Consider the following 20,052-nt stretch of genomic DNA (forward strand, 5'->3'; position numbering starts at 1 on the left):
GAACATTCCATGCTCATATATGTTTGTTTGACCTGTAAGGTCCATATGAATAAGAAGATAGTCGTAACTAGTCTAAGAGTTTTAAGTAAATGTGTGAGCAATCAAGAATAAAACAAAAACTCTAAAAACTGACTCTAAAGTATACTCTAATGGGATCTAATTGTTTAGATCTCATATATTGTGTATTTTTGAATGCCTTGTCTTGCCTCCATTAAAAAGGCAAACAGATAATAAAACTTCATTTAACAGAATTGAGGTTCACTAAGCTTTGTGAGATACTGTTGGTTTCTCTGGATATTTGCAAGGAAATTATTCTGAATCACAGACTTAAAATTTGCCAGAGGATTAATGGCTGAGTTTCTGAATGTACAGTGATCATTAGTGTACTTTTTTGAATTTGAGGTATTTCTTACTGAGTAGCGAATCACCATATATATTTATTGTCAGTATTGCTTTACATTTTACTTACAAAATTTGTTCCTTCACTTCTAACCAAGGAAACTATGACATAGAAACTTTGCAAATAGGTTTGGTTTTGAGGTCATATATATGGAAAGAACTATATTTAATTTTATAAGGTGTCACTATTTAAAATATTTTTTATTCTGACTACTAACAAGTGTGAACACGAGGTGTTCTATATATAAAACTTCTACTATCTATGAAGCTATTTAGGAGATATGAATACCACTAAGGATGTATGTTTTAAAAGACAAAACTTTCTTCTTCCTAGATATTTCTTAATTTAGAAAGCCCATACCAGAATTATCTTTAGAATAAACAAGAAGCAATAAATTTGGACTAAATTACATCAATTTCCTTTACTATAGAATTATGCCACAAAACTTTGATAATAACTTTTAATTTGAATCACATATTATAATTAATTAGTTGCTTGTCATAGATAAATGCATAAAACTAAAGCTGAATTAAATTACGTTTTCAGAGAATGTAGAGTAATGCTCTGTTGGCTTCTATTTTGTTGAGTGAAGCTATACAATAAGCTGGTCCTTATTTTTTAAAGTATAGGAAAAGATATTCAGAATGAAAATTTTAAGGATTTCTTACCTACCTTTCCCTTAAAATGAAACTGACAAATGGTAGGCAGTACTTGGCTATTGACTGGTGTACAAAAAAAGAAACATCTCAAAACATAAATGAATAAGTATACAATTTTTATTCTTTAGAAAGACATATAGAGCTATATTTCCCTTAGAAAAATATTAGATGTCACCACTAATTCACTTTTATTGTATCCCAAATTATCAGAAAGTCAAATGAGATATTTCAATCAAATACATGGCAATGACTGTATTTCACACAACCATGTTTACATTTTGAATTTGGTGAGTGAAATTCATGATTGTTTAGCTCCTATTACACATCATCCAAAATCTTCATCACAGTTCAGATCTGATAAAATATGATAATTGAGGATGCTAAGTTAGAAGTTAGATAATATCTATTCCTGAGTCTGATTCTGATCAAAGTGTGGTAGCAAAGCTTTGATATGCATCCTGAGTACAAAACACTGTCAAAATAAGTTTCTAAGGCAGATTAGATGTTGCTATGAACACCAATATAAAATCCATAATGCTTTAAAACATTATAACAGTACACTGTATATTGTTTTTCATTTCATGCTGCTTAAACACTGGACTCATTTTCTGAGTCAATCTTCTTTACTGTTTTATAAGCCTTTGGCAGATACTATTTTTCTCCATGCTACTTACAAGCTGAATTCCTTGCTTGCCTTTGAGAGTCTTTAATTTTTTCTTTGTTTTTCCTCAGATTTGTTTATTAAGAAAAATTATATTGAATAGATATATTTGAGCTTATGTGATAAAGTGTCTTACATATCTCGGTTATAAATAAGTCAACATATAGAATAATATATGGATATATATTAATCTATGTCTAGAGTAATAGGGTACATAATTAGGCATTTCTTCTATATAGCAATGGTCCCCCAACCTTTTTGACACCAGGGAACAGTTCTATGGAAGACAATTTTTCCACGGACCATGGGGGTTGTGGGAGATGGTTTTCGGATGACTCAAGTGCATTACATTTATTGTGCACTTTATTTCTATTATTATTACATTGTAATATATAATGAAATAATTATACAACTCACCATAATGTAGAATCAGTGGGAGCCCTGCGCTTGTTTTCCTGCAACTAGACGGTCCCATGTGGGGGTGACTGGAGACAGTGATAGATCATCAGGCATAAAGAGCATGCAGCCTAGATCCCTGGCATGCACAGTTCACAATAGAATTCATGCGCCTATGAGAATCTGATGTCACTGCTGCTCTGATGAAAGCTACAGCTCAGGTGCTAATGCAAGTGATGGGGAGTGGCCATAAATATAAATGAAGTTTTGCTTGCTTACCTGACACTCACCTCCCGCTGTGTGGCTCAGTTCCTAAGAGGCTATGGACTGGTATATTGTATATATTGTATATTGTATATAAGGATATACTTTTAAATATTTTGCCTAGTTCATCTTTCTCATCACACTCCCTAACAAAGTATACTTTAAATCTCTTACGCAAAATTCATCTTATCACTTTGTTCTTACCAAATTGATAATTATTTATGCATGTTAGTAATTCTAAATCTCAGCGATCCCTGTTGTTCCATAACAGTACCACTGCTGGAAACTTTAGCTTATAGTATTGGGTCAAAAGGAGAATGCTGGGTGCTTCAAAATAAAAGAGAAGTTTGCAGTGATTGTCATTTTATAGCCAAGATGAGACTTAAAGACTTCCTCAAAGTAGATACTCAATAAGCATACTTTATTTTTATTACTGCACTCACATTAGGTTTTATAATACTGTGATATTTACAATGTATATTTCCAAAAATAATTTTATGTGTTTTATTTCATATACTTCTGAGAATTTCTCTGAAATATAGAGGCAGATATTATTAGGTTGGTGCAAAGGTAATTGTGGTTTCTGCTTTTAAAGGTAATGGCAAATATTACATTTACTTTTGCACCAACCTAATACATATTCTTCTTAGATTTTCTTAGTCCCTTATTCATCCTCCTTTAGTATAGAGCCAAATCATAGCCATAGACATATCCTTATCACTTAATCACATGATCAGTTAGATTGTAATGAAAAACTCAAGTAAATAAATGTAATTGAGTACACTAACTCATAGAAAGAAATGTTTTGATTAAGGTCACACTATTTTTTAAGAACTAAAAAAGCCAGACGTTGATTCCAGAAGTACAGACACCAGCTTTCTCTCTCCTTTAGAATACATTTCTGAGAAAAGTTATTTATCTACCTGAAAAGAAAAAAAAAAAGATTCAGTGCCTGGCATCTAGATAAAAATATATATCTCGTGTCAAAATTCAAGCAAAGTAAAATAATGTGTTGTCAGCCTAAAAAGTCCAAAACAGAATGCTTTTGGTGCTGTTGTATTAACTCTTGCTGAATTAAGAGTACCTTACCAAAGCAATATCTACTTGTTCAGGGATTTCTTTTCAGTTGATCAGTCACCCCCAGACTGGTGGATCACACATTTGTCTTTAACTGTAAAACATCATAGGGCAGGGTTTCACTCTTTAGCAATTGAATCTCCGCAGCTGTATTTACATATCAATTATGGTCAGTCCTGCTGCTTCTCAGTACACATCCTGTGATTGTTAAATTGATTAGAAAGTTAAGACACTAAAGAAACACTCTTTACATTGCTTCTTGAAGACAAAGCTGTCACTGTGACATTAGGAGGATGTACTATCCTATAACTTGTCTATTTTCTTCTCAACCTTATTGTGACTTATTCACAGAAAATAAAGTTATTTATCCTTTTCTTGGTCGAATTCCACCCTTAACTATATTGGTTGAAACATGAAATTACATTTTTATGGGTAAAAAGGATGGTTCAGTCTAATATACTTGCCTAGTGCTTGTGGATGCCATACTAAGAACAATTTCATATGCATTATTCTGTAATAGTTACTAGTAGTGATTCTAATATTAGACTGCCTGGGTTCAAATTCCCCTGCTTACCCAATGTGTGACTGAACAAATTGCTATATAGATGTCTGTGTATCTGTTCCTTCAATTTTAAAATGAGAAAAATAATGGCTCTTACTTCATTGGATTATTTTAGAAATCAAATGAGTTAACATTTTGTAAAGTGCTTGGAACAGTGTCTGGACTAAAAGTATTTGTTAAATTTAAAATATATGTTTGTGTGTCTATTACATATAAATATATACATATATAGTTACATATACTTATATATTGTATATACTATATATAATATATAATTATACCATATTATATAATTACCTATAAAATTACAGTATAAAATAACATACATATACTTTACTTCTGGAAGTATTACAGTATATATTTCAAAAAACTATCATGCATTTCATTGTATACACTTTTAAAAATTTCTCTGACATATAGAGGCAAATATTTTATAGATATAAAAATTTATTGTTTGACTAGGAATTATTGATCTACTCACTCATCAAATTTATATTATAACTTTACATTCTGGGTGCTATGTTTCCTGAAATGTTTTCACAGACTGGTGGAATAGTTAAGACATAGTTTTTTTAAAAAAATTACAATAATTTGATGAAGAATATGGGGGGAAAAGCACTGACAAAAAGTGTTCAGGGTGGCAATTCAGAAAAGAAGTGGATGTTTTGTTTGTTTTTACAATAACAAGCACTGAAATTCACAAACTTCAAATTATCACACAATTGTGAGAATATCTATATTTAGCACAGTCTAAATGGTTATCAAAGTAATGTGAAAATTTAAGAAAAATTGGACTTCCTAGTAAAGGCTATCTTTGTAAAGCATATCTCTATATGAGAGTTGGGTCAAATATTTGGAGAAATAATCTGGTGACATTCGAATTGTACTACTACAGTCCTGGTTTTCTATTCTGCTTTCTGAAAAGAAAATAATAAATTTACGATCTACTGGGAAAAAAAAAAAAGAAGAAGGAAGAGAGCTCCACAGCAGCAGCTTATGACATTGTTTAAAAGCAGGGTTTCTGGAGCTTGACTCCCAGGGTTCAAGAGCTAGTTTTGCCACTCTCAAGCTGTGTGAGTTTAAGCAAGGAACTTTATTTCTCTGTGTACTCATTTGTCCAAATGTTGAATGATAATAATAATAATGGGGTTCTTTTTCTTTGTAAAACATTTAGTTCAGTGCTAGATATAAAAGAGGCACTCAATAAATAAGTAAACCACATAGCTTAGTGACTAAGAGCATAGCTTCTGGAAAAAGACTGGATTTGAATCTGCCTTCCAGAATTACAAGACATGAAACTTTACAAAAGTTACTCAAATACCCATAACTGTCAATCAAAAGCAGATTTTTTAAAATCTACAAACATTGTGGGAAGGATAAAATAAAAATTTGTTTTTAATTTTCCTGAAAAGGATAAATAGCTCATTCACTAATAACATCAGAATAACTCCATACTTTGTAGCTTAAAACAATAATAGGAAAGCTTCTGGAAGGTTATGTGGGCCTGGAAATATTTCTGAAACCATTTTTTGAAAACTACATTATCTACTCTATGGTCATAGCAATTCATTTTCTCCTCATATGCAAAATAGAATCACCTGTTCTCCTAAAGATTTGCCTCATAATGCATCAGTTTCAGGATGGAGGTTTACGATCTCATTGCCTAAATTAAATCCAACTACAGAGGAAGTTTCTATCCTGTATTTCTCTAGTACTGTCTCTAGAGAATAGTTCCTATTGATCTGATGACCTATAAGCTAAATAGGCAAGTTAGCTTCCCCTCACAACCTCAATATATTATGGTTAGACATGCAATATAGATCATTTCATTTGAAAGGGAGAGAAATCTTAGACACCCAGAAATCACTCTTCACAGAAATTCTAAAGTACAGCTGGGCACATGTTACAAAGAGTGAGTCTCCATAGCTACTGGAGATTCAGTGGCAGCTCTTGGTTTTGTCTCGTGAGATTTTGCTTAGAGCCTCTTTTAAGTCATTATTCCTTTGCCATACAATGTTGGTATTTGTAGCCAAACAGTTCTCTTTTTAGCTGGTTTCCTATCCACAAAAGTTTAAAGCTACAAAGACCTATTTTCATTGTATCTTTTCCTCCAAGCTGGCAAGGTTTCAACCAATATCATTCTCCTCAAAAAATCTATGAATTGCTTATAAATGTTATCGTAGTTTGCCCCATTAGATAAAATCCACACTCACAAGTCTCCTTGAAATAAGTCTTCCTGTATCTTAGGTTTTCTAAAAGAGTACTTCAGGGCAATGTTCTTAATAGTCTTAGAAGCCTAATTTTTTTTTTAAGAAAATATATACGAGATACTTAAAGGAATTTTTGTTTAATCTGGGTACCTCAAATCTCTGGACTCTTAACCAAGTGTTGTGCAGTTGCACCCTTGTCTTCATCTATACATCATGTTTTCATGGCAATACCCTGATGCTGTCTTTGCCCAGAAGCCATTTATTAAATTTAGTATTGTTTCCATCTGAAGAGGATGGGAATTGGGAGCAAGTTCATTTTCAAACCCAATAAGTACTTGGTTCTTTGTATTTACTAGTTCTTTCTTCAGTATATCATTCTCCTCAGGCATTTTATGATAGGTAGTGAGAACCCAGGAATCAACTTCATCCTTCTGCCTGGAAATCTCCTTAGCTAGGTCATCAGTTTATCAGTTATAATTTCGATATTCCACATCACTACAGGCAACTCTTCTAAAACTTTCTGCCACTACAAAACAAATTTTCCCTATCCTCGAGCTTCCAATAACCTCTTTTTCACTTCCCATTAAGTTATCAACAGCCAACTCAAGTGAATCAGACTTTTTACTTTTTGTACTTTCGGCTTCTTCCTGCCCCGCAGTCCTAGATCCACGGGACTAAATTTGAGTTTTCCTTAAATTAATATCTCATCTTACTTCTGATTAAAAACCTGTAGATATATACATAGATAAATACATAGATATGTATATATAGATATCTATCTATATACAGTTTACCTATTGCTACTCTGTTAACCATCACTTTTTTATTTCCTGCATCGTGGTGCTTTGGTACCTAGAGCCTTGCTGACTCTGGACGGTCTGCCCTTCCCAGGGGCAATTCCTAGAGATAGCAAATAGTTCATGCTCAAGCAGGCCTTTCAAATGCAAATCAGAACCCACACCCCCAACTAAGTCCTCTGTCAGGCCCCCCCATTCAGGGTCACTATTCCTGTTCCCTAATCACTCCAGAGCCAGGTACTAGACAACTTGGTATAGCCTTTCTGCCCCAGAAGCAGCTGAAATTATTCAAACTAGGCAATCCTAAACCTAGTTATCCTGCCTGCCATACCCACTTCTCCCCACAGACCCACAATAAGGGATCTTGTCCATGTTTTCCCCACTCCCTGACTGACCCTAGTGCTTCCCATGTGGCCTCTTGTGGCCTCTCCTCTTGGGATCTGAGAGTATAAAGAACCATATTTTCAATGGCAGTTGCCTTTTGATCTGTTAGCCTAGCCATACCTAAATAGTAATAAAACACATATATTTTAAAACAGTATATAACAAACCACACCAAAAGTAGTAGCTTAAAGCAACCCATTAACATGTTTCACAAAACTGAGTTTGGTAGGGCTCAACTGAACAGATAATTTCTGCTTCATTCATTACCATCTGGGGTGGCTGGAAGGATGAGAGTTGGAATCTTTTAGTCTCATTCACTGAAGTCAGCTGCAGCTGATGCTGGCTGTCAGCTGGGACCTTAGGTAGGAGCTTTTGAATGAAACACTGCATATGCCCTCTCTTTGTAGACTGGACTTTCTCAATAATGTGGTAGGTGGATTTCATCATCAAACATCCCAAGACAGAAAAGTAGGTACAAGCCACATCTCATTTATGACCTAGACTCAGAATTCACAGTACATCATTTCTGCCACATTACGTTCATTACAGCAATTACACTGTCCTATTCATTTTCTTGGGAAGGAAAGGTAGCCACCACATTTTGATGGGGAAATGGTAAGATTGTGGAAGAGCAGTATGTTGTCAGAAATAGTGAGGAAGACATTTTTGAGAAATACAATCACCCACATGAGCCATAATTGAAGAAAAAAAAAAAAAAAACTAAGGCATATTTTCTATGTCTTCCTATTCTGGTAATTCTACAAAATAAACCAAGCAGAATGTTTGATATTCATTGTCGAAAGTATTAATATTCCTAAAAATCAGTTATCTGGAACTTTGTTAAAATTTGAGTTAAAGCAAATTATTCTTGTTCATGAGGCATTCCTCTCATAATCCTCTCATATACTTATGTGTTTCAATTCCGGATGTTGTAACCCACAACTTTTTTCCTGTCCAAATATGTAGGCCAGGTGTGGTGGCTCATGCCTGTACTCCCAGCACTTTGGGAGGGTAAGGCAGGAGGATTGCTTGAGTCCAGGACTTTAAAATGAGCCTAGGAGGCATAGCAAGACCTCGTCTCAACCAAAAATGACGATAATAAAAAAAAAACAGCAGGACGTGGTGGCATGCATCTTTATTCTCAGCTACTTTGGTGACTGAGGCTGGAGGATCACCTGAGCCTGGGAGGTCGAGGCTGCAGTGAGCCATGATTGTGCTACCGGACTCCAGGCTGGGAAGAGAGCAAGCAAGACCCCATCTCAAAAAAAAAACAAAAAGTTATCCTATTTAAAAAAAAAATTCCTTATAAAGTTTTTACCTCAAATGCCATCCATTTAATTCAACATTTAAGAGTAAACAGTAAACTTCTTTTCTCATAATTTGGTACCTAGGATTACACAGCCAATAACAGATTTTTCTCAATTTGCATTTATTTTTCCAAAGGTTGAGATTTGCAGAAGTGTGATTTCAATAGCGGTTTGATATTATATATATAAAATTGAATTTAAATTAATTTTTCATTGTGAACTTAGAAATTGTATTTTCTCTTGAAATAATCAGAGATCCTCTGGGGGTGTTGGAACAGCAATCAATTAATCAGTCATGGTATTGTGTCATAATAAAGTTTTCATTAGTATCTATCTCTTCCTATCTTAAGTGGTTGCTGGTGGTGTCATCGGAATTATCTAGATTGTGAGATTTTTATTTTTTCATATATTCAACAAGAAATATCAGGGGGAAAGCAGTGGTCTGATTAGGCAAAAGATACTTTTTCTTTGAGTTCTATGTTTAAATTGCTTTTGATAAAGCAATTAGAAATATCTATTTAATTCCAACTTTATAAGTACATAAATAAATTCTTTTTAAATTTATTATTTATCTACTCAAGTTTGAAAAGATAGTGATGCAATACATAAATACTGAATTCTTATTTTAATGGAATAAAAACATTTTAAAATTGTTAAATTATTATAAGAACTCCAATTTAAGACTACAAACAATTTCTTTAATAGGTTGAAATTGGTCATTGTTGACTTGTTATTGGAATTTCCTAATGGTATACAAGGAGTTAAATTGCTGTCATTTTTAGGTACACACTGAAGAAGAAAAATGCTTTTTAAAACACAGAAATTGGCTGGGCACGGTGACTCACACCTGTAAATCTAACACTTTGGGAGGCCAATGCAGGAGGATCACTTGAGCCCAGGAGTTTGAAACCAGCCTGGGCAACATGGGGAAAGCCTATAACTACAAAAATTAGCCAGGTATGGTAGTGCCTGCCTATGGTCCCAGCTACTCTGGAGGCTATGGTGGGAGAAGCAGCTGAGCCTGGGGAGGTTGAAGTGGCAGTGAGCTATGATGACACCACTGCACTCCAGCCTGGACGACAGAGTGAGACCCTGTCTAAAAAAACAAAACGAAAAAACACCCAAACAAACAAAAACACTTCTTTAATTTATTACAGAATGATAATATAGCGGAATACTGAATACTGCACTTTTCACCTGTGAAGAGTAAACTGAAGCAGAGCCAATGGTATAGTACAAGTAACGTTCAAGAACTTAATGAATGTGAGCTCCATAGAAAATGATGAGTGCAAATCATGATAACTGTACAGGAATGTTAACGTACCATGTCAACAGGAGGACATTTGTTCCTTTTATGCAGAATAAGCTTTGTTTTGAGCAATTTGGGGAAGAGCAACTGATAAATCACCATGTATTCAGTCAGGTCTTTGAGCCAAAAATTTACATTTTTGTTTCAGCTATGATCAAATGTAGCCAATGCATTTAAAAGAAAAAAATCTCATTTTGGATACCTGATGAATAGTTTACTTATCATTTCTGAGATTCTGGAATGACAATTTATCTATATTTTGAAACACAAAGTATTGAAACATTATTCAGTATAATAATTTCAAAATATTACCTTACCATTTTCTAGAAACCCTCCATTTTCTTGGGTTTGTTGAAAATGCACTTCACCATTACTGGATCTGTGCTAGCAAGGACCTATCCTCATTCTTGATGTCCTTCCTATTTTACACTGACTCTCTCTTAGCTCACTTATTTTTCGGATCCTTGTTTTATGTTGTCATAAATGAGAGAGCATTTAGGTAGGTACAAACAAACAACACTTCATCAGAAATTGCCTTTCAGGTAAACGACAGAGAAAATTCAAAGGTGTTAAATTTAGCAAAAGACTCACACTAAATCCAACTGGCCTAAGTGTCATGATTATGCCAAACCAAATACTCTTTTATTTTTTTTAGAGATGGGATCTGACTATGTCGCTCAGGCTGACATGTAATGGTATGATCATAGCTCACTACAGCCTTAAACTCCTGGGCTCAAGCGGACCTCCTGCCTCAGCTTTCTGAGTAGTTGAGACCACAGACATGTGCCGTCATGCCTTGCTGATTTTGTTAATATATATATTTTTTGGAGAGATGGTCTTGCTTTGTTGCCTAGTCTGGTCTCAAACCCCTGGTTTCAAGTGATCCTGCCACCTCCGCTTCCCAAAGTCCAAAAATTACAGGCATGAGCCACTGCACCCAACGCCAAATACCCTTCAGATCCCAAGTTAACATCAATATAGAAGTTAAACTGCTTCATGTTATAGACTCACAGAATAACTAATTTTCGATATAAACAAGAAATTGTTTGCTAAGTTCTTTATAAAGAGTCTACAAAGAACTAAAAGCACAAATATACAACTGAAAACATTCAACTCAAATGTAATCATATCACTAACCTTCAGCTGTGAGAACTGGAAAGGAATCAAAATCTGAGCAAGAGACTGAAAGGCTTTGAAAACAAGTGCAATGGAAGATACTCTACTGGAATGAAACCAATTGTATTCCAACAGATAAACTAAAGAAATAACCATTGAGAACTATGTCTCTACCAGAACTAGCAACAAGCACAAACTTATTTAAGCCAACTATTCCAGATGTCCACCCACGGGCACAGAGCCGCAGAATCAGATGGTATGACCTGTGTGCCAAAGAAAAACCTTACAAAGCACCATGAACAGAAAAAAAGGGCAGTTGATCTTAATGCCACATAACAGATGGCAATAGAATGTAGAAACAATTTTTTTTTACACATTGTGCCAAGGTTGGAGAGAAAAGGAGGCAATAAGCATTCTCATTTGTGGTAAAAAAGTATATTGCCGCCATGTCAAAACTAGGATGTTCTATAGTCCTTTTCAAAATGGTGTGAAACACTGAAAAGTTTATCTTTATTTCACATCAGAGCATACATTTTAGTTGAGTGATATTATACATATGGAGACCACTTCTCTTTGCCTATAACCAATGCATGTAGAGAGCTTGATACTGCTCACAAAACATTTCTTAAATGTAACAAGCGACCAAATGAGAGAAAAATATGTATGAATTTTACTCTAGTCAAAGGATAGATGGTGGGATTTTTGCTTCAACACTTTGCTTCTCTACTTTATAATTTTTATCATTTTCTTAGCATCCATTGTATACAGAATGAGATTTATCGTATACTGCAGGTGGACAATGCCTTAATACAGGTGCAAATGGTATAAGACTACATGGATCAGTTTAATACTATGACAACATCTTGGTGTAATTTAGTAATATGGATTGACAGGAACATATAGTTTATTCTTAGCAATCCATATGTGAAGTGTCTGTGGAAACATTTCACAATGCCCATTAGTATTTTTGGCTCTCTGGACACTACCTGCCTATCATTGGTTTGCATGTATTCGGGGAAGGCAAATTAATGATGATATTACTCGAAGTAAAATCTAAGTAGAAAAATATGCACAGATCAACTAAACAAGAAAGTGACACATACCAAAACAAAAGAGCAAAGTTTTTTGATTTATCGGTTGCTTTATGTGCCATTGTCTTCTGATGAGTTTTCCAATTAATGTGCAATATGACACACTAATTAGAAAATAGCACATAGTACTATTTTAGATGCTTCTTATGTTTCATACATGTTGCACAAATTATCTTTAAAGTTCATAAGTATTTCTACCTAAAAGAGTAAACTAATGAATACAGAGGCTACATAAATTGACCAAAACAGCACAACCAATAAGCCACATTACTGAAATTTAATATTATCCATCTATCTTATTAATCTAAGGAAAATTCAGGAAGAAGTAAGGAATCCTTTAGGTACCTAAGTCTGAAATAATGAATAGGAGTTGTTGTGTTAATTTTATCAGTGGCAGCATGTTGTTGGAAATCATTAAGACATCCAGTGGGGATCATTAAAAATTCTCCCCAAATATTTTACTAGGCATCAATAACAACGATATACATGGCTTTAAGTTTTGTCCTTGAAGACCTAATTAGGCTAGATGGTAGATTCCAACAGACTGCATTTCTAAGCTAAAAGGCCACCAACACTTTTATTATCAAACATATCTCTTAGGCAAAATAAACTAATAGTGGTGTTCAAGCAATTATGCTATAGAAACACTCTTTGTGTAAAGAAATGGCTTATGAATGACATCATGCTATAATATTTGGTTTTCAAATATGTCTTTATTTCATATTTTACCATCTTAAGTAGGTTTGCAAATTCAAATGCCCTCAGCAACCAGACAAATAGTGTAAATATGTGAAGGGACTGGCATTTTATAGTAGGAATTGGTGGTTACCTAAATAATACAGCCTAAATAATACAACTCAAGGTATTTTTAAATTATTATTATCAATACTGAGTATTAATTATAATATGATACATCTATGATACAGATTACACATTCCATAGATATTAACCTCATTTTATTGATATAATAATTGGTAACTTGACCATGAATTTATCCACTCATTCATCAAATTTATATTGAAGCTTTACCTCCTCGATACCATGGTTCCTAAAACCCAACCTGAAAGTTGATTATTCTTTACATGAAACCACAACACATAATTTAAAAATCTGGATATCTTATGGAAACTTCATTAATTACCATTTGAGATTTAAGATGTTTTCTTCTTACTGTTATATATATACCCCCATATTTGATACGATGCTATGAACATCATAAGAGTCCTGATATGCTTAGTAATTATTTTAAACATTTAATTGATCATCTACTACAATGTCATGCTGAGGATTAATATCAAGCTTGAATCAATTCCTGCAATTTACTTAAAATAAGATGAAAATGGTACACTGTAGACTGTAAAATGAAATTTGTTAAAATAATTCAATGTCAATAACTCCCTTATGGCATCAAGCAGGGTACATCATTGGCAAATAGTAGACCATCTTTGAATGCTGAGAAAAGAGAAAATGTAATAACTGTTCTCATCCTACCAGGTGCTATTTCACTAAGTGCCATAACTTATAAAAAATTCTGTTCAGAATAGGCAATATAAGGTGAGGAGGATGTGATCTCCCTGTTGATAGTTCTAACCAGTAATTTAAGCCTGCTTCATTCTGTACCACCTGTAGACTCCATGTGGGCCTAGAGAATAGAAAGCAGAATCAGACCCTTAAGCCTGGATGAGTCAATGCTACTCCATGCTCTGTTATAATTTACTGTAGTTACAAACGTTATAAAGAAAACTGGTATGAAAATTCATCTTTTAAACAAAATCCAAACCATACTTTAGAAGCATTCATGCAATTTCCATCTTGTTAATGTCTAATTTCTATGTTTTTACATATTTTCCTGTTATTTTTATATTTTTTATTAACTAATATTTGTTTTTCTTTCCTTCTCCATTCCTTTGTTTTCCCTGTAGAGAACCATCCCCCAGTTGGATGTCAGTCAGTGTAATCAACTTTGTTCATTTTATTATTTCTTTTTCCAATTGCTAGTATCCAAATCAGCTATTTAATAAAGGAAAATAAGGCATTTGGGAAGTTTGCTTGCCCCCCACTTTGGTGTCCCCCACCCTAATAGTTTTCAAGAAGTACCAGGTTTAAAAATGGAATGCTCTCATCTGCTCCTTCATTGTTTCTTTTTTTTTTTTTTTTTTTTTTTTTTTTTTTTTGAGACAGTCTCACTCTTGTCGCCCAGGCTGGAGTGACGTGGCGCGATCTCGGCTCACTGCAACCTCCGCTTCCTGTGTTCAAAGGATTCTCCTGCCCCACCCTCCTGAGTAGCTGGGACTACAGGCACCCGCCACCACGCCCGGCTAATTTTTTTTTGTATTTTTAGTAGAGACGGGATTTCACCATATTAGACAGACTGGTCTCAAAACTCCTGATATTGTGATCCACCGGCCTCGGCCTCCCAGAGTCCATTGTTTTTTATAAGAATAATAGATTCTGTGCTAAAACCCTGCACTTGTGATTCCTCATCTGTACCATAATGGAACAGCTCACAACTACAGAATTTTGCTTGGGAATCTGTGGGAAACAACTGCTCCCACTTGAGCTATTCAGAGCTGACTGCAACGATCAGTCAGCTTATGGGACTTCAGAAGTTGCAGTAATGAAAGTTCATTCCACAACAACTTGGAAAGTGAAAATATTATGGAGATGGCTTTGCTCCCCCTCCTTTCGAGTCCCTTGTGAATTTTTGGTCAAACACCCATTCCTGTCTAAAACATTCCTCCTACAGACCAATCACCTGGATAATTGCATTTCCACTAAGAAAGATGCAAGGGAGAAAACAACCAAAAATAACACACAGTGACTCACAGTCATTTGAAAAAATGTTTCTGATTAGGTTTCATATTCAGCACACATATTTCTAAAGGCCCTGGATCTTGAGTTAAATCACATTGAGCAAGCATGTTGTTTCTTTATGGTCTTTAGTAGTTATTTTGTGTGTGTGGGGTGTGTGTGTGTGTGTGTGTGTGTGTGGTGGGGTTGTGTTTGTGTGTTACCAAGGCATTGAGTATTATAAATTCCAGCAGATAGACTGAAAAAGACAAAAAATGCAACTTTTTTACCCTTTAGGCCTCAGCTAGATAGCTAGGAGAATTTATCTCTCCTGCCCTGAGGAGGCATAAATAACGACAGGACTGATATGGGGAAAGCAGACAAGCCACTCCCCCCATACGAGGAATTCCTTTCCAACAAGGTCTTCTTAGTGCATTTTTTTTTTTTGTAGTCCAGGTGCAAGCTATTACCTTGTTTGTGACAACAAAGCATGTGATCTCAGCCTGCGTATTTACAAATGAGTACAGGTGGCATTACAAAATAGACTTTGGAATAGACATTAGAAAGCAGAAAAACAGCAGTGTGTCACAGAGAGTTTTTTCAAAATTGTTTTACTACAGTTACAATCTTTTCTCATTCAAAGACCAAACTTTCTGGCTAAAACCATTATTACTATTATTATTATTGTCAATATTATTGCTACATATTATTGTTACTTATCATCACAAAAGGGCTCACCAAAGCCACCATCAGTTACTTACATTATATTTACACATACCAAAAAAGAGTTGCAAGAAATAAAATCTGAAGCTTAGGCAGCAGTGATTAGCCCTTTTTCAAGGTTATTAATTTTGAATAATGCTTTGTTTCCATGGAAATGATTTAGTGATATTAATACAAAGAGAAATAAAAATGAGAAAAATGATTTGAAATGAAGATGAATTAGTGATTCCAATCTCTATATGTGTCTTTTTACCTCTTATTCTTTAGGTAAACCACATATACATGTCACACACAACATAAATGTTACTCATAACGTAATATCACATAAAACAAATAGCCTAGCACTGTCCATAGCATTTAATTGTTGCACCACGGACTATTAGTTTCTGTGAATTCATTTCTTTTTACCCTGAAAGAGCATTATTCACAAATATTCAACTTTACTTTTTTTTTTTTTTTGAGATGGAATCTCACTCTTGTCACCCAGGCTGGAGTGCAGTGGCACGATCTTGGCTTACTGCAACCTCCACCTTCCAGGTTCAAGCAATTCTCCTGCCTCACCCTCCCAAGTAGCTGGGATTACAGGCACCCACCACCACGCCTGGCTAATTTTTGTATTTTTAGTAGAGACTGGGTTTCACCATGTTGGCCAGGCTGGTCTTGAACTCCTGACCTCTGGTAATCCACCCTCTTTGGCCTCCCAAAATGCTGGGATTACAGGCATGAGCCACCATGCCCAGCCAAATGTTCTTTTTTTTTAAAGATTGAGAATGGTGAGTAAAAAAAGAGATGAGAATATGCCTTTATGACTCAGAGCACTGAATGAAGAGCAGAATGTAATTATGTAACTTTGACCTTTAAATTCTCTTAAATCTCTTTAGTGTATTTTATAAAACAGTTGTCTTTTTTAAAGTACAAGTTACTAATTGGAATAGTTTTGGATAATATAGAAAGTGAAACTATATTTTTCGGAATTAAATACTATATTTACTATTCTATGCTAGAACACTTGTTCCTTGAATGTCTAAATCAGCAGCTACTAGTAAAGATTGTCACTTGTAATAGTTTATAAAACTGTTTAAAGAGTAAGTAACAAGATAAATTAGCCCTGGACTTTAAAACTTTGTTCAAATTGTGTTTAACTTCCAGCTAAGAGAATTTTAATTATTTGTGGAGATATTCTATTGCTCCAAGACTATAATGCAATATTTCTTTCCAAGATACCTTACCTTAAAAAGAAAAGAAAAAACTTTGTGCAACATTTACAAAAATTGCGTTTTGCTTCAAACATAAAAGTTGATGCCATAGAACTCTTGCCAATAATATCTTAAATAAGAAATAATATTTAGTGCCTTGTACCAAAACTCATTAAACATAAATTTCCAAATACTGTTATATCAAGTAATGGCTTTGTCTGTGTTTGACCTACCCTATAATATAACTAAGGAAAAAAGTAATAAGTGTCTTTTAGATGCTCAGGATGTTTTTAATTGGGATGAAAGGAAATCTCTCAAAACTCAAACCCATTCAAACTTTTGAATATCTGCTATATAACTCGAAAGAGGTAATGATATGCATTTACATATCTTTCTTAAAATTTTTAAATATAACTAAGAGGTATATGACTCACAACATCCATAAAAGTTAAACCCAAATCGGAAGGTAAGTTGTCTTAGCAAACTTGGTAATTAGAATGATTTTTTTTTCCTTGACGCTACTTTTACTTGAATACATGGAACAGATGTGACATTATAAATTATCTATCCCAAATAGATCTGATGACTAAGACATTGCGTAAAAAGCTAAAATTAGAGACTATTTCAAATATATTTAAAATTTAGAAAAATCCCAATTCATTAAACTATAATTATGTAGCTCATCTATCAATAAATGCAATAAATCTCATTTATATCTTCTATAAAGGAAAAGGTCATGCCTCCTACTTAGATTTGTTCTGTTTCTACATTACATAAATGCATGTGCACATTCCTATGCACACACAGAACTGCCGCCACATTTCACCATCGTCAATTTGCTTCTACCACCATCATTTTGAAAGACATTTTAAAGGAATATTACTTTAATAAAATTTCAACAGGAAAACTATAGGCAGAATATATCCATATTGTCTGTCACTAGTCAAGGATACTGCAGACAAAAGCCAACAGTAGAATTACATAAATTTTAGAAAAGTTTAGCAAAATAATAGCAAAAACGTTTTAAAGGATAAAATAATACTAACTTTAGCATGTCTCACAAGGAAGTAACTTTGTTTTATTAACTGAATAGTCATGGTAATATTATCATCATTCAAGAACTACATGAATCATAAGATATATTGGTTATAATAAAAAGAAATCAACTCCTTACTTATAATTTAGCTTGTTTGGAATAAGTATTTGCTATGAAAACTGTATCTTTCAAATATTTAGGAAGCTAAAATACTTTTTACCTGAAAATTTTCTATCTTCTGCTGTAGACTATTGTTGCAATAATATTAATAAAATTAAAACAGTTCCAGTTAAAATCACTGGCTGGTTGTGAGAATTTATTAGGTGGCCTTATTTTGACATATCACAGTTCATCTCCTCTTTTAGTATCTTTCCTTATTAATTCAAATTTCACTTCCTCAGAAATAGAAAGCTTTTTCCTATTATGCAGAATGTGAAATGGAATTAGTAGTTTTAAAGAAGACTACAGTAGAGAATTTTTAGTATCTCACTGAATAAAGTAAATAAACCACAGTAATAGGCTGACATATGTTTGCATTGTTAAAAAAAAGAAACAGTTGACATAGAATGTTTAATTCTTCTTAATTAATGAATAAAAGTAGGAGAGTACATTTAAAAATAAATATTCTTTGATCTCAGAAACTGGAAATATAAAACAATGGCTGTGGGTTTTTTTCCAGAACTGTTTAATAGCACATGTTGTGCTCTCAGTTTCAATGTGGGTTAGTGTACTTTGTCTCTGTGATGTAAGAAAAACCCCTTCCTGAAGTGAGAATATGGTGACAGATTCCGGAGGAAAGCAAAGCTTTGGCTGTATTAAATTCAATCCAAAGAAGAAAGTGAACTAAAAATCTATTTGCCACATTCTACATTTATCCATCTAGCTGTGCAAAGAAAACATATTTCAATGTAGAAATCCTATCTAAATTCATATAATGATCTACATAGATATCATGTTGTAAATGAGTAGATTAGCTCTACCAGTTAGCTTCTGCTGCAAAAAAACCACCCCAAATCAGTGACTTAAAACAACAACCTTTAGCCCACAATTCTGTGGGTTAGCTGAGCTGAGCTGAGCTCAGCTAGGCTGTTCTCCTGATCCCAATTGGACTTACTCACATGTCTGCAGGCAATAATGCAGCTGTGCTTGTATTGGCTCACTGTTGGCTGGAGAGACAAGATAAACTGGGCCATATGTATCTCACCTTCCAGCAGGTTAGCTCAACCTTGTTCATGTGCTAGCTGGACAGGTTTCCCTGGAGGCTCTTGTATGTAAGATCTTTTGAGGCCTATGCTTGGAACTGGTGCAATATTGCTTCTGCCACATTCTCTCTTCCAAAGAAAGTTACAAGGCCAGCTCAGATTCAAAGAGTAGAGAAATAGACTCCATCATATGGTGAGAAGAGCTGCAATGTCACATCGCATTGTTTATGGATACAAGCACAAAATATTATGTGACCATTTTTTTGTAGACTACTATGGTAGATTACATATATTAACCATTTTATAAAGACTTGCTATTTAAATGGATGAGTTAATAACCACATGAATAAGTGAATAATTGGATGATGAAGAGGAGAAGTAATATAACTCTCCTCAGTAAAGTAATATCTTCATTAACTGGTCATGGTCCAGGTCAAAAATATTGATAATATTTTGTGACTACTGTTTATTCATACCAATAGGCTGTTTTGACTAAATTGAGTATTTGTTTCAGTTTTCTAATCTTTTTATTTATATGCCACTCTCTGAGTTTTCGTTTCCTGAATTGTTAATATAGTTCAGTTATTACTAAAGAATATTTTTTAAACTCATTTTTGAATAAAAGTTTCAAATTTCTTTTGTAGTTATTTATCTCATTAAATTATTTATGCCCATTATATAGTCATTTATTATTCTCATTTTGTCAAACTGGAAAACTAAAATTTATAAGGAAATAATAAAGTATTACTTATATGTATATAATACAAATAAAACTGATATCAAAGGTAAGTTTAAATTTAAAACCTTAACTTTTAGGCAAGCTTTCACTATATTTTTAATGTCTAATTTTCCTTCTACCTCAAAGTAAGAAT

At 33.9% G+C, this 20,052-nt stretch overlaps 1 non-coding gene across 1 annotated transcript, besides 1 other annotated feature; it reads left to right on the forward strand.

Moving 5' to 3' along the window:
* The first annotated feature begins 2,942 nt into the window (after positions 1-2,942).
* On the forward strand, positions 2,943-3,008 carry MIR548AG1 (microRNA 548ag-1). The gene has a single exon (NR_039652.1). It is a non-coding gene; the product is annotated as a microRNA 548ag-1 (primary transcript).
* Positions 13,878-15,077: an enhancer, noted in NCBI's record as "MED14-independent group 3 enhancer chr4:61799272-61800471 (GRCh37/hg19 assembly coordinates)". NCBI's record gives its function as "activates an origin of replication core promoter dependent on BRD2, BRD4, P300/CBP and CDK7 cofactors, and independent of MED14, by STARR-seq in HCT116 cells {active_cell/tissue: HCT116}" and the evidence as "EXISTENCE:reporter gene assay evidence [ECO:0000049][PMID:35650434]".

This window comes from Homo sapiens, chromosome 4 (assembly GCF_000001405.40).
Source record: "Homo sapiens chromosome 4, GRCh38.p14 Primary Assembly".
Lineage (NCBI taxonomy): Eukaryota > Metazoa > Chordata > Mammalia > Primates > Hominidae > Homo > Homo sapiens.